Raw genomic sequence first — 17,553 nt, 5'->3', positions numbered from 1 at the left:
CAACCCAAATGTCCAACAATGATAGACTGGATTAAGAAAATGTGGCAAATATACACCATGGAATACTATGCAGCCATAAAAAATGATGAGTTCATGTCCTTTGTAGGGACATGGATGAAATTGGAAACCATCATTCTCAGTAAACTATCGCAAGAACAAAAAACCAAACACCGCATATTCTCACTCATAGGTGGGAATTGAACAATGAGATCACATGGACACAGGAAGGGGAATATCACACTCTGGGGACTGTGGTGGGGTCGGGGGAGGGGGGAGGGATAGCATTAGGAGATATACCTAATGCTAGATGACACGTTAGTGGGTGCAGCGCACCAGCATGGCACATGTATACATATGTAACTAACCTGCACAATGTGCACATGTACCCTAAAACTTAGAGTATAATAAAAAAAAAAAATAAAAAAAAAAAAAAAGAACTAGTATCTAGAACACATAAAAAACTCTCAAAACTCAGCAGTAGAAAAATCAAACAATCCAATCTAAAAATAGGCAAAGGACATGAATAGACATTTCACCAAAGAGGATATATAGATGGCAAATAAGCACACTATTAGCTATTAGGGAAATCCAAATTAAAATCACAATGAGATAGCATTACACAGTTATCAGAATGGCTAAAAGTTTTCAAAGTTACAAAACTAAATGCTGGCAAGGATACAGAACAAGTGGATCACTTATACATTGTTGGTAGGAATGTAAAATGATACTCTTTTTCAAAATAGTTTGGCAGTTTCTTGTAAAACTAAACATGTAGTTACTATATGATCTAGCAATTACACTCTTCAGCATTTATCTCAGAGAAATGAAAACTTTACATCACATAAGACCTGCACACAAATATTCACAGTCAAGCTGGAATCGGCCCAGATGTCCTTCAACAGGTGAATGGTTAGATAAACTGTAGTACATTCATACCATGGAAGGGGGAAACAGATTCTCTAAAACCTCCAGAAGGAATGTAGTCCTGCCCATACCTTGATGTTAGCCCAGTGATATGATGAACAGATTAACTGTATTTTGAAATAATTTCAGACTTTCAGAAGAGTTGCAAAATAATACAGAGAGCTCTCATATACTCTTCACTCAGCCCTCCATATGTACATAACCATAGCACAATTATAAAAAATTAAGATATTAATATTAATGCAATATTATTAACTAAGCTTCAGTATTTAATCAGATTTCATCAGTTTTTCCCCTAATGCTTTTTTTTTTTTTTTTTTTGGCCAAAATCCAATTCAGGATTTTCATTTAGCTGTCATGTCTAGTTAGTCTCCTCCAAACTGTTTTCAGTCTGTCTTTGTCTTTTTTAATGACCTTGAGTTTTTTGTTTTTTTTTTGAGATGGAGTCTTGCTCTGTTGCCAGACTGGAGTGCAGTGGTGCAATCTCGGCTCGCTGCAACCTCTGCCTCCCAGGTTCAAGCGATTCTCCTGCCTCAGCCTCCCAAGTAGCTGGGACTACAGGCGCCCACCACCATACTTGGCTAATTTTTGTATTTTTAGTAAAGACGGGGTTTCACCATGTTGGCCAGGATGGTCTCGATCTCCTGACCTCGTGATCCACCTGCCCTGGCCTCCCAAAGTGCTGGGATTACAGGCATGAGCCACCACGCCTGGCCGACCTTGACATTTTTTAGAAGTACTGGCCAGTTGTTTTGTAGAACGTATCTCAGTTTGGTTTTGTCTGATATTTTCACGTGATTTGATTGAGGTTACACATTTTTTCCAGACACTCACAGGGAGTACATGATATCAATACGTCTTATTACTGGTGATGTTAACCACCCTGATCACTTGGTTAAGAAAGTGTCTCTACTGTAAAGCTACCATTTTCCCCTGTGTAGTTAATAAATACCTTGGGGGAGATACTTTGAGACTGTGCAAATATTCCATTCCTCCTCAAACTTTCACCTATTAATTTTAACATCTACTGATGGATATTTCTTGTAATAATTATTGCTGTGATGTTCTAGTAGTGATATTTTATTTAATTGTATTCTTTTGTTAGGAAGAGCTGTTCCTTCTCCACCATTTATTTATTCAATTATTTATTTTTAGTGGTATGGACTCATGGATATTTTAATTTATTCTGTAAAGTCCAACACTATTGTTATTTTATTATTCAAATTGTTCTAGCTTTTGGCCAATGGGAACACTTTCAAGCTGCCTGTGCCCTTTTAACTTGTTCCCACCCGTTTTACTCATGTTATTTTTATTAATAGATTTTTAAATTTTTGGAATAATTTTAGATTTACAGAATAATTGCAGAGATAGTACACAGCATTCCTATACATCCTTCACCCAACTTCCCTGAATGCTAACATCTTATGTAACCATAATACATTTGTCAAAACTAAAAAGCCAGTACTGGCACATTATCATTAACTAAACTCCAGACTTTATTTGAATTTCACTAGTTTTTCCACTCAGTTCTTTCTTCCATCCCAGGCTCCAATCCAGGATACTATGTTAATTGTTAACTTAGGCCCTCATCCTTTTTTAATCACTTCATTACTTACCACAAAATGCTCTTGTCTCATCTTGTTTTTTCCCTGCCCAGCCCTGGAATCAATCACTTCTCTAAGGAGCCCCACCCACATTGTTTTGAAAAAGTCCCAACATCCAGACAGCACCCTAGATTAACTCAGAATCTCTAGCTGTGAAGTCACGGAATTTAGCTTTTAAAAAGTTCCCCAGGTGATTCCAATGTGCATTTGAGGTTGGGAACCACAAATCTAGACTTTACTTCTGGTGGCTAAAGAATAGTTAAAATTTTGTTAAATTCCCACATGCCAAAGACTTTAGTGTACTTCCCAGCAGGCTCTTAGGCTCCCTGAAGACAAGTTTTTAAAATCTCTCTAACTAGCACACATCCCAGAACCTGGTACATAAATGGTGTTAAAAGAATGAAAGTTAAACAAGTAAATTAAGCTTTGGCTTCCTTGGGGAAATTAGCCTAGGTCTAACTCTTTTCTTAATCCCTCATTCGTCTTTAAATTAGACCCTTTCTGCTGCTGAACACCTATTTCGTAAAACCTTGAGTGAGTCAGTCCAAGGGAAGTAGCATGAAGGCTACCCACCAAAAAGCCCTGGGGCAACCTTTCCAGGCAAAAATCTTTGCATCTCTTCTCTGAAGGACGCTCAGTGGGCCTGATGTCCACTCCCTTTATTTGGATCCTCTTCTGCCACCTTTACCTCTATCAGCCTTTAAGGCTAATGCATTAGAAAAGGTAGCACCATCTTCTTTATTTCCTTTCCTTTGTCCCTCCTCCCTTCTTCTACCTTGTTTTAATGTCTCAGCTTTTTCTGCAGAGATATATAAAGGGCACAGGCTCTGGAGCAGACCAAACCATCATCAAATCCCAATTCCTGCACTTACTAGATATAGGTACTTGGACAAATAACTGAACCTCTCCTAGTCTCTATCCCTAATGTGTGGAATGGGGATAACACCTAACTTGCAGGATTCATGTGAGAAGTCAAGATAACATTTTTGCTAACTGAAGGCACAATGTGTACTCAGAAATAGCAGTTGTGATTGTCATTGTGATTATTACTATTGGTAGCATAATCAGCTTTCTGAATCACACACTATTATTTGGGAGGGACAGGACAAGGCAAATGATTTCTATGAAAGACAGCCATGGCCGGATGTGGTGGCTCATGCCTGTAATCCCAGCACTTTGGGAGGCCGAGGCGGGCAAATCACAAGGTCAAGAGATCGAGACCATCCTGGGCAACATGGTGAAACCTCATCTTTACTAAAAATACAAAAATTAGCTGGGCGTGGTGGCGTGTGCCTGTAGTCCCAGCTACTCAGGAGGCTGAGGCAGGAGAATCGCTTGAACCTGGGTGGTGGAGATTGCAGTGAGCCAAGATTGCGCCACTGCACTCCAGCCTGGCGACAGAACGAGACTCGGTCAAAAAAAAAAAAAAAAAAAAAAAAAAAAAAGCCACAACTCTACCCATCTGCCCAGTGATCTAGTAACTAATAGAAGTTCATTTAGAATTTGCAGAATTCATCACAGGCACCTACACAATCCAGAGGAAATGGTCAAAACTGCATAAAGACAACCTCAGCTAAAGCAATTATCTACTGATACCACCATCTGTATAACCAACAGATAATAATAACTAACATTTGAGGGTGGGGAAATGTTGAAGTCTTCAAAGCGCTTTTGTTTGTGTCATCTTATTTAACCCCTCATAACCTCAAAGTGGCTATTATGACCATTTCACAGGAAGGGAAACTGACGTTACATGATTGAGTCCTGAGCTAGTGAGTAACAGAGCCAAAACTCACACACAGGTCTTTCTGGCTATGACATCCTTGTGATTTCACCACTGAGGTTTTTTTGGTGTGTGTGTGTTTTCTATGTAAGTTTATAAGCGTCAGAAGTGCACACTCACCTCCAGATCTATTTAAAACAGGAGTTTTCAAGAAAATACTTATAAGACGGGCGTCATTGAAGAAAATGTCAAGTCGAAAAATGCTGGGCTTTCCTCTTCTCATTCAGCCTCCCATCTTCTCGTTTCAGCTTAGTGGACGGATGTTTTCTTGGCAACATTTCTGTTCCAACAACTAAATAACCAACAACTAACTAACCAAACAACCAGCATGCTTAGCCTGTGCTAGGAGATGTGGGGACAGCAGAAAAGATGCCCAGGCCCTGGCCCTCCAGGTCAGTGCTGGAAAGAGAAGTAACCACCTGAAGCTAAAGTACCTGGGGTCAAAGAGAGGTCTTGGAAAGACGTAGAAGGAAATACTGAAGATGCTGCTTCTGGTGGGAAATTATAACAATAAAGGCCAGGAGGAGGAAATGAAGGTATAATATGCTGACTGTTAAGCCAGCAGCTGCTTGTAGTCCATATTCGTTTTCAAGGAGTAGTGAGAAATAGGGTTAAATAAATATAGGGTGGGGCCTGAATATGCTGGGTGATGAGAGACAACAGAATTTGGACACCATGTGCTGAACAACTGGGAGCTGTGAAGGTTTTTAAGCTAGGAAAGAACACCATAAATTTGATGTTTAAGCCAGTTCTACACCTTTGCAAATTGTCTTAGTACTGATTTGTTACCTGATGTAAACTAACTAGAATAATTAAATTAGTTCTGTGTAAAACACACACACACACACAGAGAGTGAGACAGAGAGACAGAGAGAGAGAGAGAGAGAGAAAGTACTCAAGGCTCCCATCAACACTGCAAAGTGCCTAGTGTCTTGGAGTATCAAAATTAGAAGTTTCTCTTAAACGTGATTTGACATGAACAAACATCAAAGGCTACAGAGTTCCAATTTTAAGACAATAAAGCAGATAGGTACAAGCAACCAGGAGTGGAGCAGAGAAAACTATGTAATCTCACTGGCAGGGGAAATGTCCCAAACCAAATATTTTTTAGAATGCTATGGAGTACCTTTTCTTCAATGACCAGTAGAGAAATCCAATTTTTATAAGTCTCGTATCCAATGTTAAGCTCACAAATTGTCTTTTTATTCATGTGTATTTTGCTAGAATCTTTGTTTTAATTTGTTCTTACAGTTAACATCTCCAAGACACACACAGTAAGTCTGAAAGAACTACATTGCACTATATAAAACCAGACGATGAGATAAGTAACAAAGTGCACAGAGCTCTGCTTTTATTTATTTTGATGATTTCTCTTTCTAGATTGTTGTGTGGACATTAAGAAGAGAGATTTCCAAACAGAATGCAGGCCTTTTCTTTGGGATGTGGGAATAGAGGTTTAGGAGGTGATAAATCTTTTGTAAAACAGATATACGATATTCTATACACATATTTCAACCCCAGGCCCTGGGAAAGTATTTTTTGCCTTCTTAACCTATATTCAAGGCCCAAACTATTGGATGTATTCTAATTCATACTTACCTGTGAGCAAACATGGAATCAATGCGTAGAAAAACCACATGAAAAGACTTGTCCAGATTTCTTCTAGAACCATTGTGAAAGTCTGCATTTGGTAGACTCAGTTTGACCTAGAACATTGTTTCTTTCCAAAATAAAGCATTCTGTCCATCTCAGCCATCTTTCTTCAGAATGCATATGTTGGAGCTGAGGTCTGAGTCGCAGCGAAGCCTGAATTGTTCTAGAGCCGGCCCAGGAAGCTCAGAAAGGGCGGGCTCCGAAGCACCCTCCTTTCTGCCCAAACCCAGATGTTGCATCAGCAGGGAGTGGCCTAGGAGAGTTCCAGAGAAAATGTAACTTTGGGGAGCTTGAGAATCTGCCTATGAGCAATACCCGGACCACAGGCTCTGTCCTAAAGGACTCTGCACCTCCCTAAAAGCCAATGAGCAGGCAGGATTATCTCCCTCCCTCATTAAATAGCTGTCCTCTTCCAAGTTTCTCTCTGTGAGTTCATTCAAGCTGGGTACTGACTAGCTCTTTTTTCTAATATGTACCCACTTCAGAAAAACTAAAGATATTTGAAAAAATTTAAAATACCCTTCTAAAAGTCAGGAGGGTAAAGAATAATATATAGCTTCATATTTGCATGCATTTGCAAAAAGAAAAACTAAAAGAAGATATAAGAAATGAACAAGATTGGTTACCTTGGGGCAGAGAAAGTGGGAATTGGAAAGGTGGAAGAGAAAAATGGGAACAAGACTTTTGACTGAATATCTTTGTATATCGTTTGATTACTGAGTCACGTGAATGTATTACTGAAAAATTAAAACCAATTTCAATAGGTGGAAGAAAAACCTTGTGATAGTATTTAGCCCTTTAAAATTTAGCCCTTGAAGGACTTTAACCACCCTAATGTGCAAATACAATAGTGGAATAAACATGGGTTCTAGAGTATAATGTATTTTGGTTCAAGTTTCAGAACTTACAATGTAACCTTGGGAAAGTTGGTCATTTATTTATTCATTCAAGAAACCTTCACTGAAGGCCTACTATGTGCTAGTTCTTAGGAATTCAACAGTCCATTCCCTCAACAAGAATTTCCCAACTAGTGGAGAAGATAGACACGGGAATAATCATAAGTCAATTTTTAAAATGAAGGGACAGCAATATTCGTAAGGAAACATAGCATCACTAAAAAGAAACATCTAACCCAGTTTGTAGGATTACAGAAAGCTTCCTGGAGGAGGTGACTCCAGGACTGGGTGTTAAACTCTGGAAAAAAAAAAAAAAAATCAGCCAGGAATGTTGTTTTTAGGAAGCAAGAAGAAGTTTGGTGCAACACGAGAACAAGGTTGAAATGGCGAGAAATAGGGCTTAGTGGCAGACAGAAACAGGATTCTAGAGAGTTTTGAATGCCTTATTGAGGAGCTTGGAATTTATCCTGAGAGGAATGAAGGTCAAAGGAAGGGTTCAAAGCTCAAATATGACCATGTCATTCCCTGCATTTGAGCTTTAAAAAGTTTGTGACTAGGGTGGAGAAAACAGCACAGGGGGCCAGATTGAAGGCAGGAGGGCCATGAGGGAGCTATGGTAGTGATCCAGGTGACAGACATTGTTGGCTTCCACTAGGTTTCTCATGTCTGCAGAGAGAAATGACCAAATTCAAAAGATAAAGAAGATAGAACTGATAGCTCCTGGATATTGAGTGCATTAAGAGGGCTGGGGAGGAGGAGCCAAACATGGCTTTCAGGTTCTGAGTTTGGGTAACTGGGTGGATGGCAGCACCTCAAGTGAAATAATGAAGTGGGTGGAGTGTGGTCAGGACAGGCAGGATTGGGGGTGCTATAGAAAAAGGCTGCAAATGTTCAGCTTGCGAAATTTGAGCTTAGATGCTTATATGGGCAGGGGAGTCTCTAGTATATAAATAATCTTTGTCTCAGGTTGATTGGTGTCAACTTTTTAGTTGTGTTTCTTTAGGCAAGTCATTTAAACTATCTGCTTTATGGTTCTCATCTGAAAATTGGGAACAATTATAATAGTGTCTGACTCAGGGCTGTTGTGAGGATTAAGTGAAACTTAGAACAGGATCTGGCACAAAATAAGTATACAATAAACATTGCTGTATATCTTTTTACCACACCATAGTCAAGAAAACCTGGTGCATATTTTCCTTGATTCCAGCACTGTGAGTCAGTGGCCACATCTGTACTTTGACCTCTGGTCACTAGCTGCTTGTACAGTCTCTCACTGCTCCTCTTAAGAGTGCTTCATACATGGCCTCAACGTCTGTCCCCAATGTTACCTTTGTTCTCCATCTTGGCTTCCTGATTCCTCTCTCCTAAGTTCGCTTCTGCTCACAGTTCCAGCATGTCAAAAGTTAGCAATATAAGCCAATGTGTACTGGATATCTATTATCTGCCAAGAATGTCCTAAAGGGTTTCTACACACTATATACATGTCCATATATTATACAACAGACTTGCAAGGTAAGATATGATTTGATTCTCCACTTTTCAGGTGAGAACACAGGGCTCAGGGAAATTAACTTACTGTAGATCACAGAGCTATTCAGGGATGGAAACAGGAATTCTAACTGAGGTCTGCATAACTCCAAGCTTTTTTCACTCACTTTAACTGCCTCCCAGTTAGCATCAAAGGAATGTGTCTGAGGGACACAAAGGAGTGATCCAAGAGATCAGCAAAGGCTTTAGGGAATAGGTAGACCTCAATATGAGGTTCCGGATGTACCAATTGGATATGGGTAGGAGGGGAAGAGAGGCACACTGTTCATCATTCCTTTTGGGAGAATGATATGAGCAAAGATGGAAAGGTAGAGGGGAATACAGACTGAATTAAGAAGATGAAAATGAAAGTAAACAGAGAAAATGGAGGAAAGAATAAGAATCATTTAGCTATGCTGTCGGAGAAGAAGAGTTGTTTACCAAACTTTGAAGTGTTACGATGGCTAGTTAGCTCCACCTGCTCATTGGTCCCTGTCAAGACACTCCTGTCCAGCACTACAATGCTCTGGCAAGACAGTACTGCCTGCCAATCCTTCATAAGCCATTGCACAGAGTCTGCCCTGGGTTCAGCACACCTCAAGGGGCACTGAGAGATAATGCCATCTGCCTGTCATATTTTTTGAACAATAATCCGTTTCAAGCCTGGGTCATGACCCAACAAGTAACTCAGACCACCCACCTCTGCCTGGGCTGTATCTTTGGGTGAGGACTTCTGGAGGGCTGTGCCTCACCTGCTAGCCCCTAACATTCCTGGATAATCCCTGACCCTGATTTTGCCTTTCTCTTCTGGCTTTGAGGTGCCCCTCTATAGAAAGAGAAGTTGTAATGTCTTGTCTATGCAACATGCACAACGAAACTATTCTCTATCCTGTTTCCTGCACTTCTCAAGTTAATTTCTGGTGCCTTCCACAGAGTTGGAGGGTCATCCATGTCAGAAGATAAACCGCTGGAAGAATAGACCAATTTCCTATAGGTAGGTACAGTTCAGAAATAGGATTTTTTTTTCGATTACACTATTTGCCACTTAAATCTCTGATATTTAATTATGGAAGGAAAAGCAAGCAGAGAAAAGGTTTTATGAAAAGGTAGAGGCAGTGGGGAGGGATGGGAAGTTTTGTGGCCAAGGAAGAGAACCCTAAGCTCTCTGTGCCCTGCAGGGCCAGGACTAAAATTAAGGGAAGCACCTAGGGCGCAAAATCTGAGGCACTCACTCTTAGGGTTGTGCAAGTCCAGGATAGGCCCTGTGTCCTTGAATGAACTATGTGGTCAATTATTACAGTCCAGTAATCTTCCTTTCCCCTACTTAACACAAAATAGTTCCTTCCCTTTGCATTAAGATTCTTAGATATCTATGTTCTGTCTTGTAGCACTTCTGACATTTAGTTGGATTTCACTGTGTCTCTATTTTTTCTTTTTAGAAGTAACACAGGGAATTTAAATAGCGGAATTCCACTTGTCTTAGACTCTTCTAATTCATGCTTCCACCAAGACTGTTCCGGGTGGAATTTTTTTTTTTTTTTTTAGATGGAGTTTCGCTCTTGTTGCCCAGGCTGGAGTGCAATGGCGTGATCTTGGCTCACCGCAACCTCCACCTCCCGGGTTCAAGCGATTCTCCTGCCTCAGCCTCCCCAGTAGCTGGGATTACAAGCATGTGCCACCACGCCTGGCTAATTTTGTATTTTTAGTACAGACGGTGTTTCTCCACATTGGTCAGGCTGGTCTTGAACTCCCGACCTCATGTGATCCCCCCGCCTCGGCCTCCCAAAGTGCTGGGATTACAGGCCTGAGTCACTGTGCCCGGCCCCAGGTAGAATTTCTACACGTTTTTAGAATCTAATTTTCAGGGCTCCTGCATTCCTTTTTCACTTCTGAAATACTTCAGTTTTTCAATTTCCTCCCAAATGTTTGTCTGGTCATCAGGAATTTAACCTCCAGGGTTTCCTTAGAGTGTGCTCAATTAGAACCCTTAAGTCGGCCAAACTGTCCTCTTCCTGTAGTTATCTTTTTCTACCTGACATCCCCCCAAAAAACTCCTCTTAAAATGGAGAATCAGGGTTTATTCAGAATAGCCTTCTGTAGTTAAATGTTCCACATTTCGATAAAATACCATTTTAGTCAAATTAAAAATCTGAAAACCAGAAACAATGCTCTGTAATAGTGAAGTTCCACATAGTTTTCAAATGATTTTGGTTGCTGTATTTTATTCAGTCACTGGTCGTTCGTAGTCATCAGTGATTCTATTAAGTGGAGCACACAGTATACTCAAAGGTCAATTTTATCAGAGGCCTCTTTTTATCATCCTATATAAATTAACACCCTCACCCTCACTCTTCAACCCTCAAATCTGTTCTATTTTAATTCAGAGCTCTTCTCCGTTACGTATCACATCACTAAAATATAAGTTTTATAAAAACTCTGTCCATTTTCTTCACTGTTACATTGCTAGAACAGTCTCAGCTCAGCAATAAAATATTTGAGGTGAGTTGGTTGGATAAATTGATTACGAGTATCTCCAAAAGCTATTTAAACATAAAATCATATAGAGATGTAACAATTAAAAAAAATATTTGCATCTTGACATCATCATATGCCTTGATGAATTTGTTCTCTGTAACATCCCCCTTGCCTATTAAGTCTAGAAAACATCAAGTTTGACATTACTTCTCCTAGAGAAGCCATCCTTACTCAATGATTACTGTTTCCTTCAAAAGTACTCAAAAAATATCAATTTAATAACCATTCCTGTGTTTAGCCTAAAATAGACAACACTTAACAGTCTCATTCTGGAATTCACCTTTTTGTCTCAGTAATTTCATGAAGGCTATCTGAAAGATTTCTCCACAGTCTAAAGATATAAATTATCTGAGCACAGAAATTTATTTAAAGCAACTACCTTAGAAATCTACTTTTAACCCGCCAGGAAATATTCTCAAAGACACTAATTTAGAACACTTCCCTCTGTGAACAAGGTGGCTGATAGCTCAAACTCCTCCTCTGTTCAAAACCCCACCAAGCCTAACCTAGGTTCTACTCATTAAACATATCTCAGCAAACTATGTATGCTTTCAGATACAAGGTGCACCTCATTAGTAAACTAGAAATAAACATTTCAGTTCCTAAGTCATTTGGTTTAGGTCATGTTACAGCAAGAAATTAGGGTGTGGGGGCATGCATATCATGCTGGTCTGTCAAGTGTTTAAAAGATAGCAGAGAATTGAGTCACAAAAACTTGCTAAACACTAACAGAACCAGCCTATCAGAATCGAGTAGCAAGCCAATGCTTCTAATAATGTGTTTCTCCAGAAACAGTAATTTGGCATTCTTTAAAAAACAGTAGTGTTCAAAACATAAGATAGCATCTATACTATATCAAAAGTCCTTTAAGAAAAAAAGTGACCTTGATTGTGAAGCCATTTGGAAAGTTAAAAGTTCTATATAAATGCAAGATTATAAAGGACCCCTTATCTTCTAGCAAAGTATTAAAATGGAAAACTTAGGGAGTACTGTAATGCCACACTCCTCATTTCTTGATTTGGACAATGTAACTGAGTGTTTCTGAAAAAAATGGTAATTTCCAGATTCCAAACCCAAAACTTTCCATGTTATAGGAAAAACAGGGAGAGTAAACTGCATCTGGAGATCTCAACTAGGGGGATAAGGGTTGGGAGTGTGAAAGTTAATTATACAAATTGGGTAATTATTGTCATACCCAACCAAATCAGATTCAATGCATTAAGGGGAAAAAGTACATGAAGGACATAGCAGCTGCTCCAAGAACTCAGTTTTCCACAAGCCCAGCTACTTAAACAGACTACTGTAAACCCTAAGACCAGTTTTACCTAGTAGCTGCTGAAATGACCTGCTGTGACTCTAAGACTGGTTTTACCTATCACTGTCACACACCAATCAGAGCTTGCCACCTCCCAAAAACTTATCTAGAACCAATGAGTTTTCTTTCAAAACATACGTAACATTTCTCTTTATAATAAAACTCCCCATCTTCTCTGTTCTTTAGACATACCAAAAACTACTGTCTGTGTATATGCCCTGAATTACAATTCTTGCTTCCCAAATAAAACGTTTCAGAGATTCGTCTCTATATTTTGACTTGAAAGAAGACTTTATTATACTGTTTGAATTTTTTCACCATGTGCACTGGTAAAGATAAGAGGACCATCCATATTAGATTCCAGCTCATTGTTGACTTGTGGGAATTCAACTCATGTTATTAGCTTCTCATTTTTAAAGGGAAACAAGAAGTCTGAATTTTATGTGAAACTCCCTGATTTTTAAATGTTGGCAATTAATTTTTTAAAGCACTGTGTGGGTTGAACAACATTTCTGTATAAGGCCACTGTGTTTAGATGTACCCTGAAGAAGGTACCCCAGCAACAAGGTGGGAGTGAAATTCAAACTTCTAGAGAAGGGCTGGGCCTGCCTAGAGAATTCTCACAAACGTGCTACAGAGACTGTGACAACTCTGCTTCTATGCAACCTCTGGATTATATGGTAGGACATTACAGCTGGAGATAATTTAAGTGCCATATTCTGCAAGAATGACCTTATTCTAACAACCCAAGTTGCCCATCTGCTAGGCCTATTTATTCTTCTAGCAATGGCAATAGATTGCATGAAGCCTATTTTGTTTAGCAGTATTATTTGTCACTAATAGTGCAAGGTGCATGTGTTAACTGTATAGTGATATATGTGTAATATACATGTGTGAATATATATTCAGCTGAATCCTAAGGTTTTATGACTAAATAAGGGACACAATGGCATTTGTTTTTGTCACAAAGCTTATATCATGTTCTAAAAAACCTTCTAAGATTTTGGGGAAGTTATTTGTAGAAGTGAGTTAGGCAGGGTTCCATCTGACACATGTATTTAAATTTGAAACTAAGCATTCTCCTCATGTGGAAGAAAACTTCTGTAATATTGCCCTTCCCAGGACTCTCCTCCTAGTCTAAAACCAAGCATACACAGAGTAGTGTGTCACGATACAGACACCAGGCTGGGAATAAGGAAACTTGGTTTCTTATACAAGTATTGTTACTATCTAGCTATGTAGAGTTTTCCAGGGTTGTTTCAGTTCTTAAAGTTACTTCAAGTATTATAAAAACAGTCACTGGTATAAGCATTGGATTAAGACTTTTTAAAAATTGGTAAAATATTTAAGTACAAAATAAGTAGCTTCCAGCGAGGTTTTTATACCATAGTAAGAGCACACAATAGATATTACTAGCACACATGGGTTATCTGGGAGCGCTATAGCTACAATAAACCTAATTATGGAACAGAAATTTGCATTCTGTTTCCAGTGCTACTACACTCCTACTTTCTCAAAAGTCTGCTCTATTAATATCAGCTCAGTGCAGTTTACTATGAATAGTTTATGTCTGTGATGCAAAGCATTAATTGTTCTCTTTTTACAAACATACATTTTTTTCATAAGGAAGACTGGGGGAAAACCCAGAAACATACAGAGAAAAGGAAAGCATCATCAAATATATGTTAAAAATTAAGATGATGTTTACTACTAGTCATCCTACAACAATTTAAAGTTTTCCTCAATTTATATTCATTTGATTTTACAGCAAAGATAAGCATACATGATTTTTATTTCCATTAAAAACTTAACTACTAATAATTACCCTCAACAAAGGAGTACTGAGTTAGAAAAATAATAGAATATGAACTAAAATGTTTTAAAAGCAGATGTAATAGAGATGAAAATTTGTCTTAATTATATTTGGTCACTTCTGTTGCTTAGTGGGAGAAGCCATGGCTGCCACCCAGTGGCAACATAAGTCTTTAAATGATTTTAAGATTTAAATAATATTTAAAACATTGATAAAAAAAATTCACAAGTTACACAACTTCAATTTTACCATCAGTAATTCTGGCGTATTAGATATCTATTTATAACAGCAAAGAATTAAAACATCCATATGCTTAGGCAGCATTAGGGAATTTGTTGAAAGTATCATACGACATCCTACTCAGTTATGTGGCTTTAGTATTTTTCAATTAAAATACTGATGGCTACTTTACTTAAATTTAAATCTCCAGAATAATAGGGGGACAAATTATGACCATAAAATACAACTGGTTTTCTTCTATAGCCTACAGAAGCAGATTGGCCTCTTATCCATACACCCAAATTCCTACTTGGTTAAAAAACAAATTAAAAAATTAAAAATAATATAATTTTCCCTAACCATGAGCACATTCTATTTTTTCCTCAGGTATACATCAGTTTTAGTGTCCCAATCAACAAAACTTAAAGCTGAAAAGAGGAAATGAAAATAGGTAATACCATTCCTGACAATTACTGATATTTAGTGAGGAGAAAAAAACAAGTATCTCACTGCTTCCTGTTTTTGCAAAACTTGGCCATAACTTATTTCCCACTGGCATAAATATAACATGTCCTAATACAAGATGCTCTAGAGGTAAAATAATACAAGTGGGATTAAAAAAATAAATAACACTAGAGCATCTATTTACAGTTTGAAAAGCTAAATATCTCAGAGACTGTTTTGTTTTCTTGAATAACCAGATGAGGGAGAAGCACTGGAAAAAAATTAAGTGATTTTTATTTCCAACAGTTGTAAATTAAAATTGTACAACATGTTTTCTAATCTATGTCTCATGTGTCTTGCTGTATGACTGAAGACAATGAATGTATTTTTAAAAATTATGGCAGACACAATATACTTGGTATTTACAATGGCCTGTGACAAATATAATACCTGGAAATAATTTCTAATTTTCCACTTATTATTGCTATTTAGTCACAGAAAAGATTAACACTCTCCAAGAAATTTTAGCATATGTCATATATAGATATAATAATTTTATATAATGAAAAACCATAACAGAACAGGGTGCCTTTACAAGGAAACAAAGGAAAGGCAATAAAGGATTTCTTCCATATAAAGATTCTGATATGCATTATTTGATTTTTGTTTACAAAATACAAAACTGTAATATTAGAAGCAAAGGGAAAACAGCAAAGAAAAAAACAATAAAACAGAAGGCCAAGGATAAGGAACTGTTCTATGCAGATGCACTGCATACATAGTATATATGTATGGGCTGAGTTATAATAAAAATACTTATTGTCAATTCTCATATAGATTTAGAAACAACAATTTCCAATCAAGCACGACTGGACCCAACATTTTCTCAGTCTTCAATTACATGACAAATTACAGCTACACAGCAGTCACTTCTGGTCAGCAGTATCATGATAAATGCTTGACAAGATATAATTTTTCTCCTTGTTCACTTGTAAAAATTGGTGCCTTTTTGTAATGTTCTACAAGTTCTTCCATGGTGCTGAATTTACGCTGCCCAATGCAGTAGACAGTCTCTTTTAGTTGGACTTTAAAATGCTTGTTTTTCCCTTGTGCTTTTAGTGATACTGAGAAATCATTTGGCTAAAAGAGAAAAAAAAGATACATATAGTAAACATTTTGAAAGCCCTCTATCAGTATTTTTATATTAAACTAAAAGCTAAAATCTAAGCACTTACTAAGTCCTAGGCACCATGGTAAATTATTTACATAGATTATCTCCTTTACTCTTCAAAACAAACCCTTTTTACACATGTGAAAACTGAGTCTCAAAGAAGCTATTAATAACTTGGCCAATATCATCCATCTAGTTAACAACAGAGCCAGGATTCAAACCTGCATAATCAAAAGTCTCTTAACACCCACGGCTCCAACAGCAGACACCCACAGCAAATCCTTTAGTTAAATATTTGAAGAACAAGAGCTATCTTCTCTCCAGTCAGAGAAACACATGAGAAAGTCTAAGATACCCACCCAACCCCTTTTCAATGTGTAGCTAACAGTAGCTGTCTTAGAGATAACATGCTGAATTCCCAAAAATGAAGAATACACAAATGAGAATTAATCTAAACTTTAAGGAGAGGCTACAAACTCAAATGCCTACAAGAGCCAAAAGAATAATGTAAATAAGTGTCAGAGTGGAAAGGTAGATGGGCAGAGGAAATGACAGTGTATCACCAATCTAAACAAGTGGTGACTTCTCAGCTGTGATTGTTGCCTTGCAGGAACCGGGTCTCAATGTTGGTAGTTCTTCCAATTTTAAATGGTCTAAAGTCTGAATTTTTATAATAAATATCCTAATATTTAAATATCGGCAATGAATTTAAATGTTTAAAAAACACTGTGAAGGCTAAACAAAATATGCCTACTTGAGACCTCTAACCTTAAAAAGTATACTGCTAAAAATAATGGTATATATTGCATTTTGTCTAATATCTACACTCAATTACCCACAAGAAAATACATACAATTCTGCATTCAAGCTATCTTCTTTTTAATTAGTTTTGTTGTTGTTGTTACAGTCTATATCAACCCCCAAAGCCTCTTTTTCTACAGTTACTCCCAAAGTTTCAAACAGTGAGCCAGATCAGGCAACTAACAGAAAATGGATGTCATCACTCTTCCCTACTGCCAACCAACTGCTTTTCTGAGGGATTAGGCACAGGCCCCATTTTCCTGAACTTCACATCAGGAAGTTCAATTAATCTCTCTCCCCACCACACCCCACTTCCACACATTTTCTTTCAAAATTTTGTGCAATTACACATTCCCTTTTGTACAAATATACTCACGCAAAGCCAAGATTAACCATGATTTAATAAATGGAAAAGTAGTGATATCTTTCATCAAGGAAAAAGAAAGGCCATTTTTAAGGAAAATGAGTGTCATCAAATTCTAATATCCTAAGCAGTATCTAAAAGAGACCATGAAACCATATTATTTTTCAACTTTTATGGTTTTATAGTTTTATTGTTTACTAGTATTGCAATATAATTTATCTTTTATTGCAAATGCATTTCAAACACTGCTAAAATAGGTTTTTTGAGGTTATAATAAAAGTGCATTCCAATTTCCAAGTAACCAATTTATGAAGAAACTTAATATCAATTTTTTAAATTCAGGGATTTCCTATGTCATAAGGACTACAGTGACTACCTTCTTACACATTGCATCCAATAGCAATTTTTTAAATGTTTCCCAGTTTAATCTATAGTATTATTCTACTCTCAATGAAGAGGCCAGTGTTCCATTTTCTCCATTTAGTTTAATGCAACAGAAACAGA

At 37.6% G+C, this 17,553-nt stretch overlaps 2 protein-coding genes and 1 long non-coding RNA gene across 15 annotated transcripts in view; 1 reads left to right on the top strand and 2 right to left on the bottom strand.

Moving 5' to 3' along the window:
- IL20RB (interleukin 20 receptor subunit beta) overlaps positions 1-6,129 on the bottom strand; it is a 53,103-nt gene extending 46,974 nt beyond the window's left edge. For 2 of the 5 annotated variants that reach the window (XM_011512911.3, NM_144717.4), the window contains exon 1: positions 5,911-6,129. Coding sequence is in view for 2 of the 5 variants with exons in the window: in NM_144717.4 (NP_653318.2) it covers positions 5,911-5,998 (88 nt within the window). In the remaining 3 variants the exon portion in view is untranslated. Of the gene's footprint in view, positions 1-2,540; positions 3,663-4,431; positions 4,599-5,910 lie in introns of those variants that run through there. The other 3 variants (XM_011512910.4, XM_017006632.1, XM_006713665.5) reach the window with 3 other exon arrangements.
- The window catches only part of IL20RB-AS1 (IL20RB antisense RNA 1), a 36,206-nt gene that overhangs the window by 18,080 nt on the left and 573 nt on the right, over positions 1-17,553 (top strand). The window contains exon 2 of one of the 3 annotated variants that reach the window (NR_183727.1): positions 4,560-4,847. The exons of 1 other annotated variant lie outside the window; for it this stretch is intronic. This is a non-coding gene — a long non-coding RNA (IL20RB antisense RNA 1). Of the gene's footprint in view, positions 1-4,559; positions 4,848-9,320; positions 9,382-17,553 lie in introns of all 3 variants that reach the window. One more of the 3 variants, NR_183729.1, reaches the window with a different exon arrangement.
- NCK1 (NCK adaptor protein 1) overlaps positions 12,506-17,553 on the bottom strand; it is an 89,399-nt gene continuing 84,351 nt past the window's right edge. For all 7 annotated transcript variants that reach the window (NM_001291999.2, XM_047448189.1, NM_006153.6 and 4 more), the window contains one exon: positions 12,506-15,853. In NM_001291999.2, coding sequence (NP_001278928.1) covers positions 15,659-15,853 — 195 coding nt within the window. In that variant the 3' untranslated portion in view covers positions 12,506-15,658. The remainder of the gene's footprint in view (positions 15,854-17,553) is intronic.

Source organism: Homo sapiens, chromosome 3 (assembly GCF_000001405.40).
Source record: "Homo sapiens chromosome 3, GRCh38.p14 Primary Assembly".
Lineage (NCBI taxonomy): Eukaryota > Metazoa > Chordata > Mammalia > Primates > Hominidae > Homo > Homo sapiens.
The sequence above is the reverse complement of the archived record's forward strand: the minus strand, read 5'-3'. Positions and strand labels throughout refer to the sequence as shown.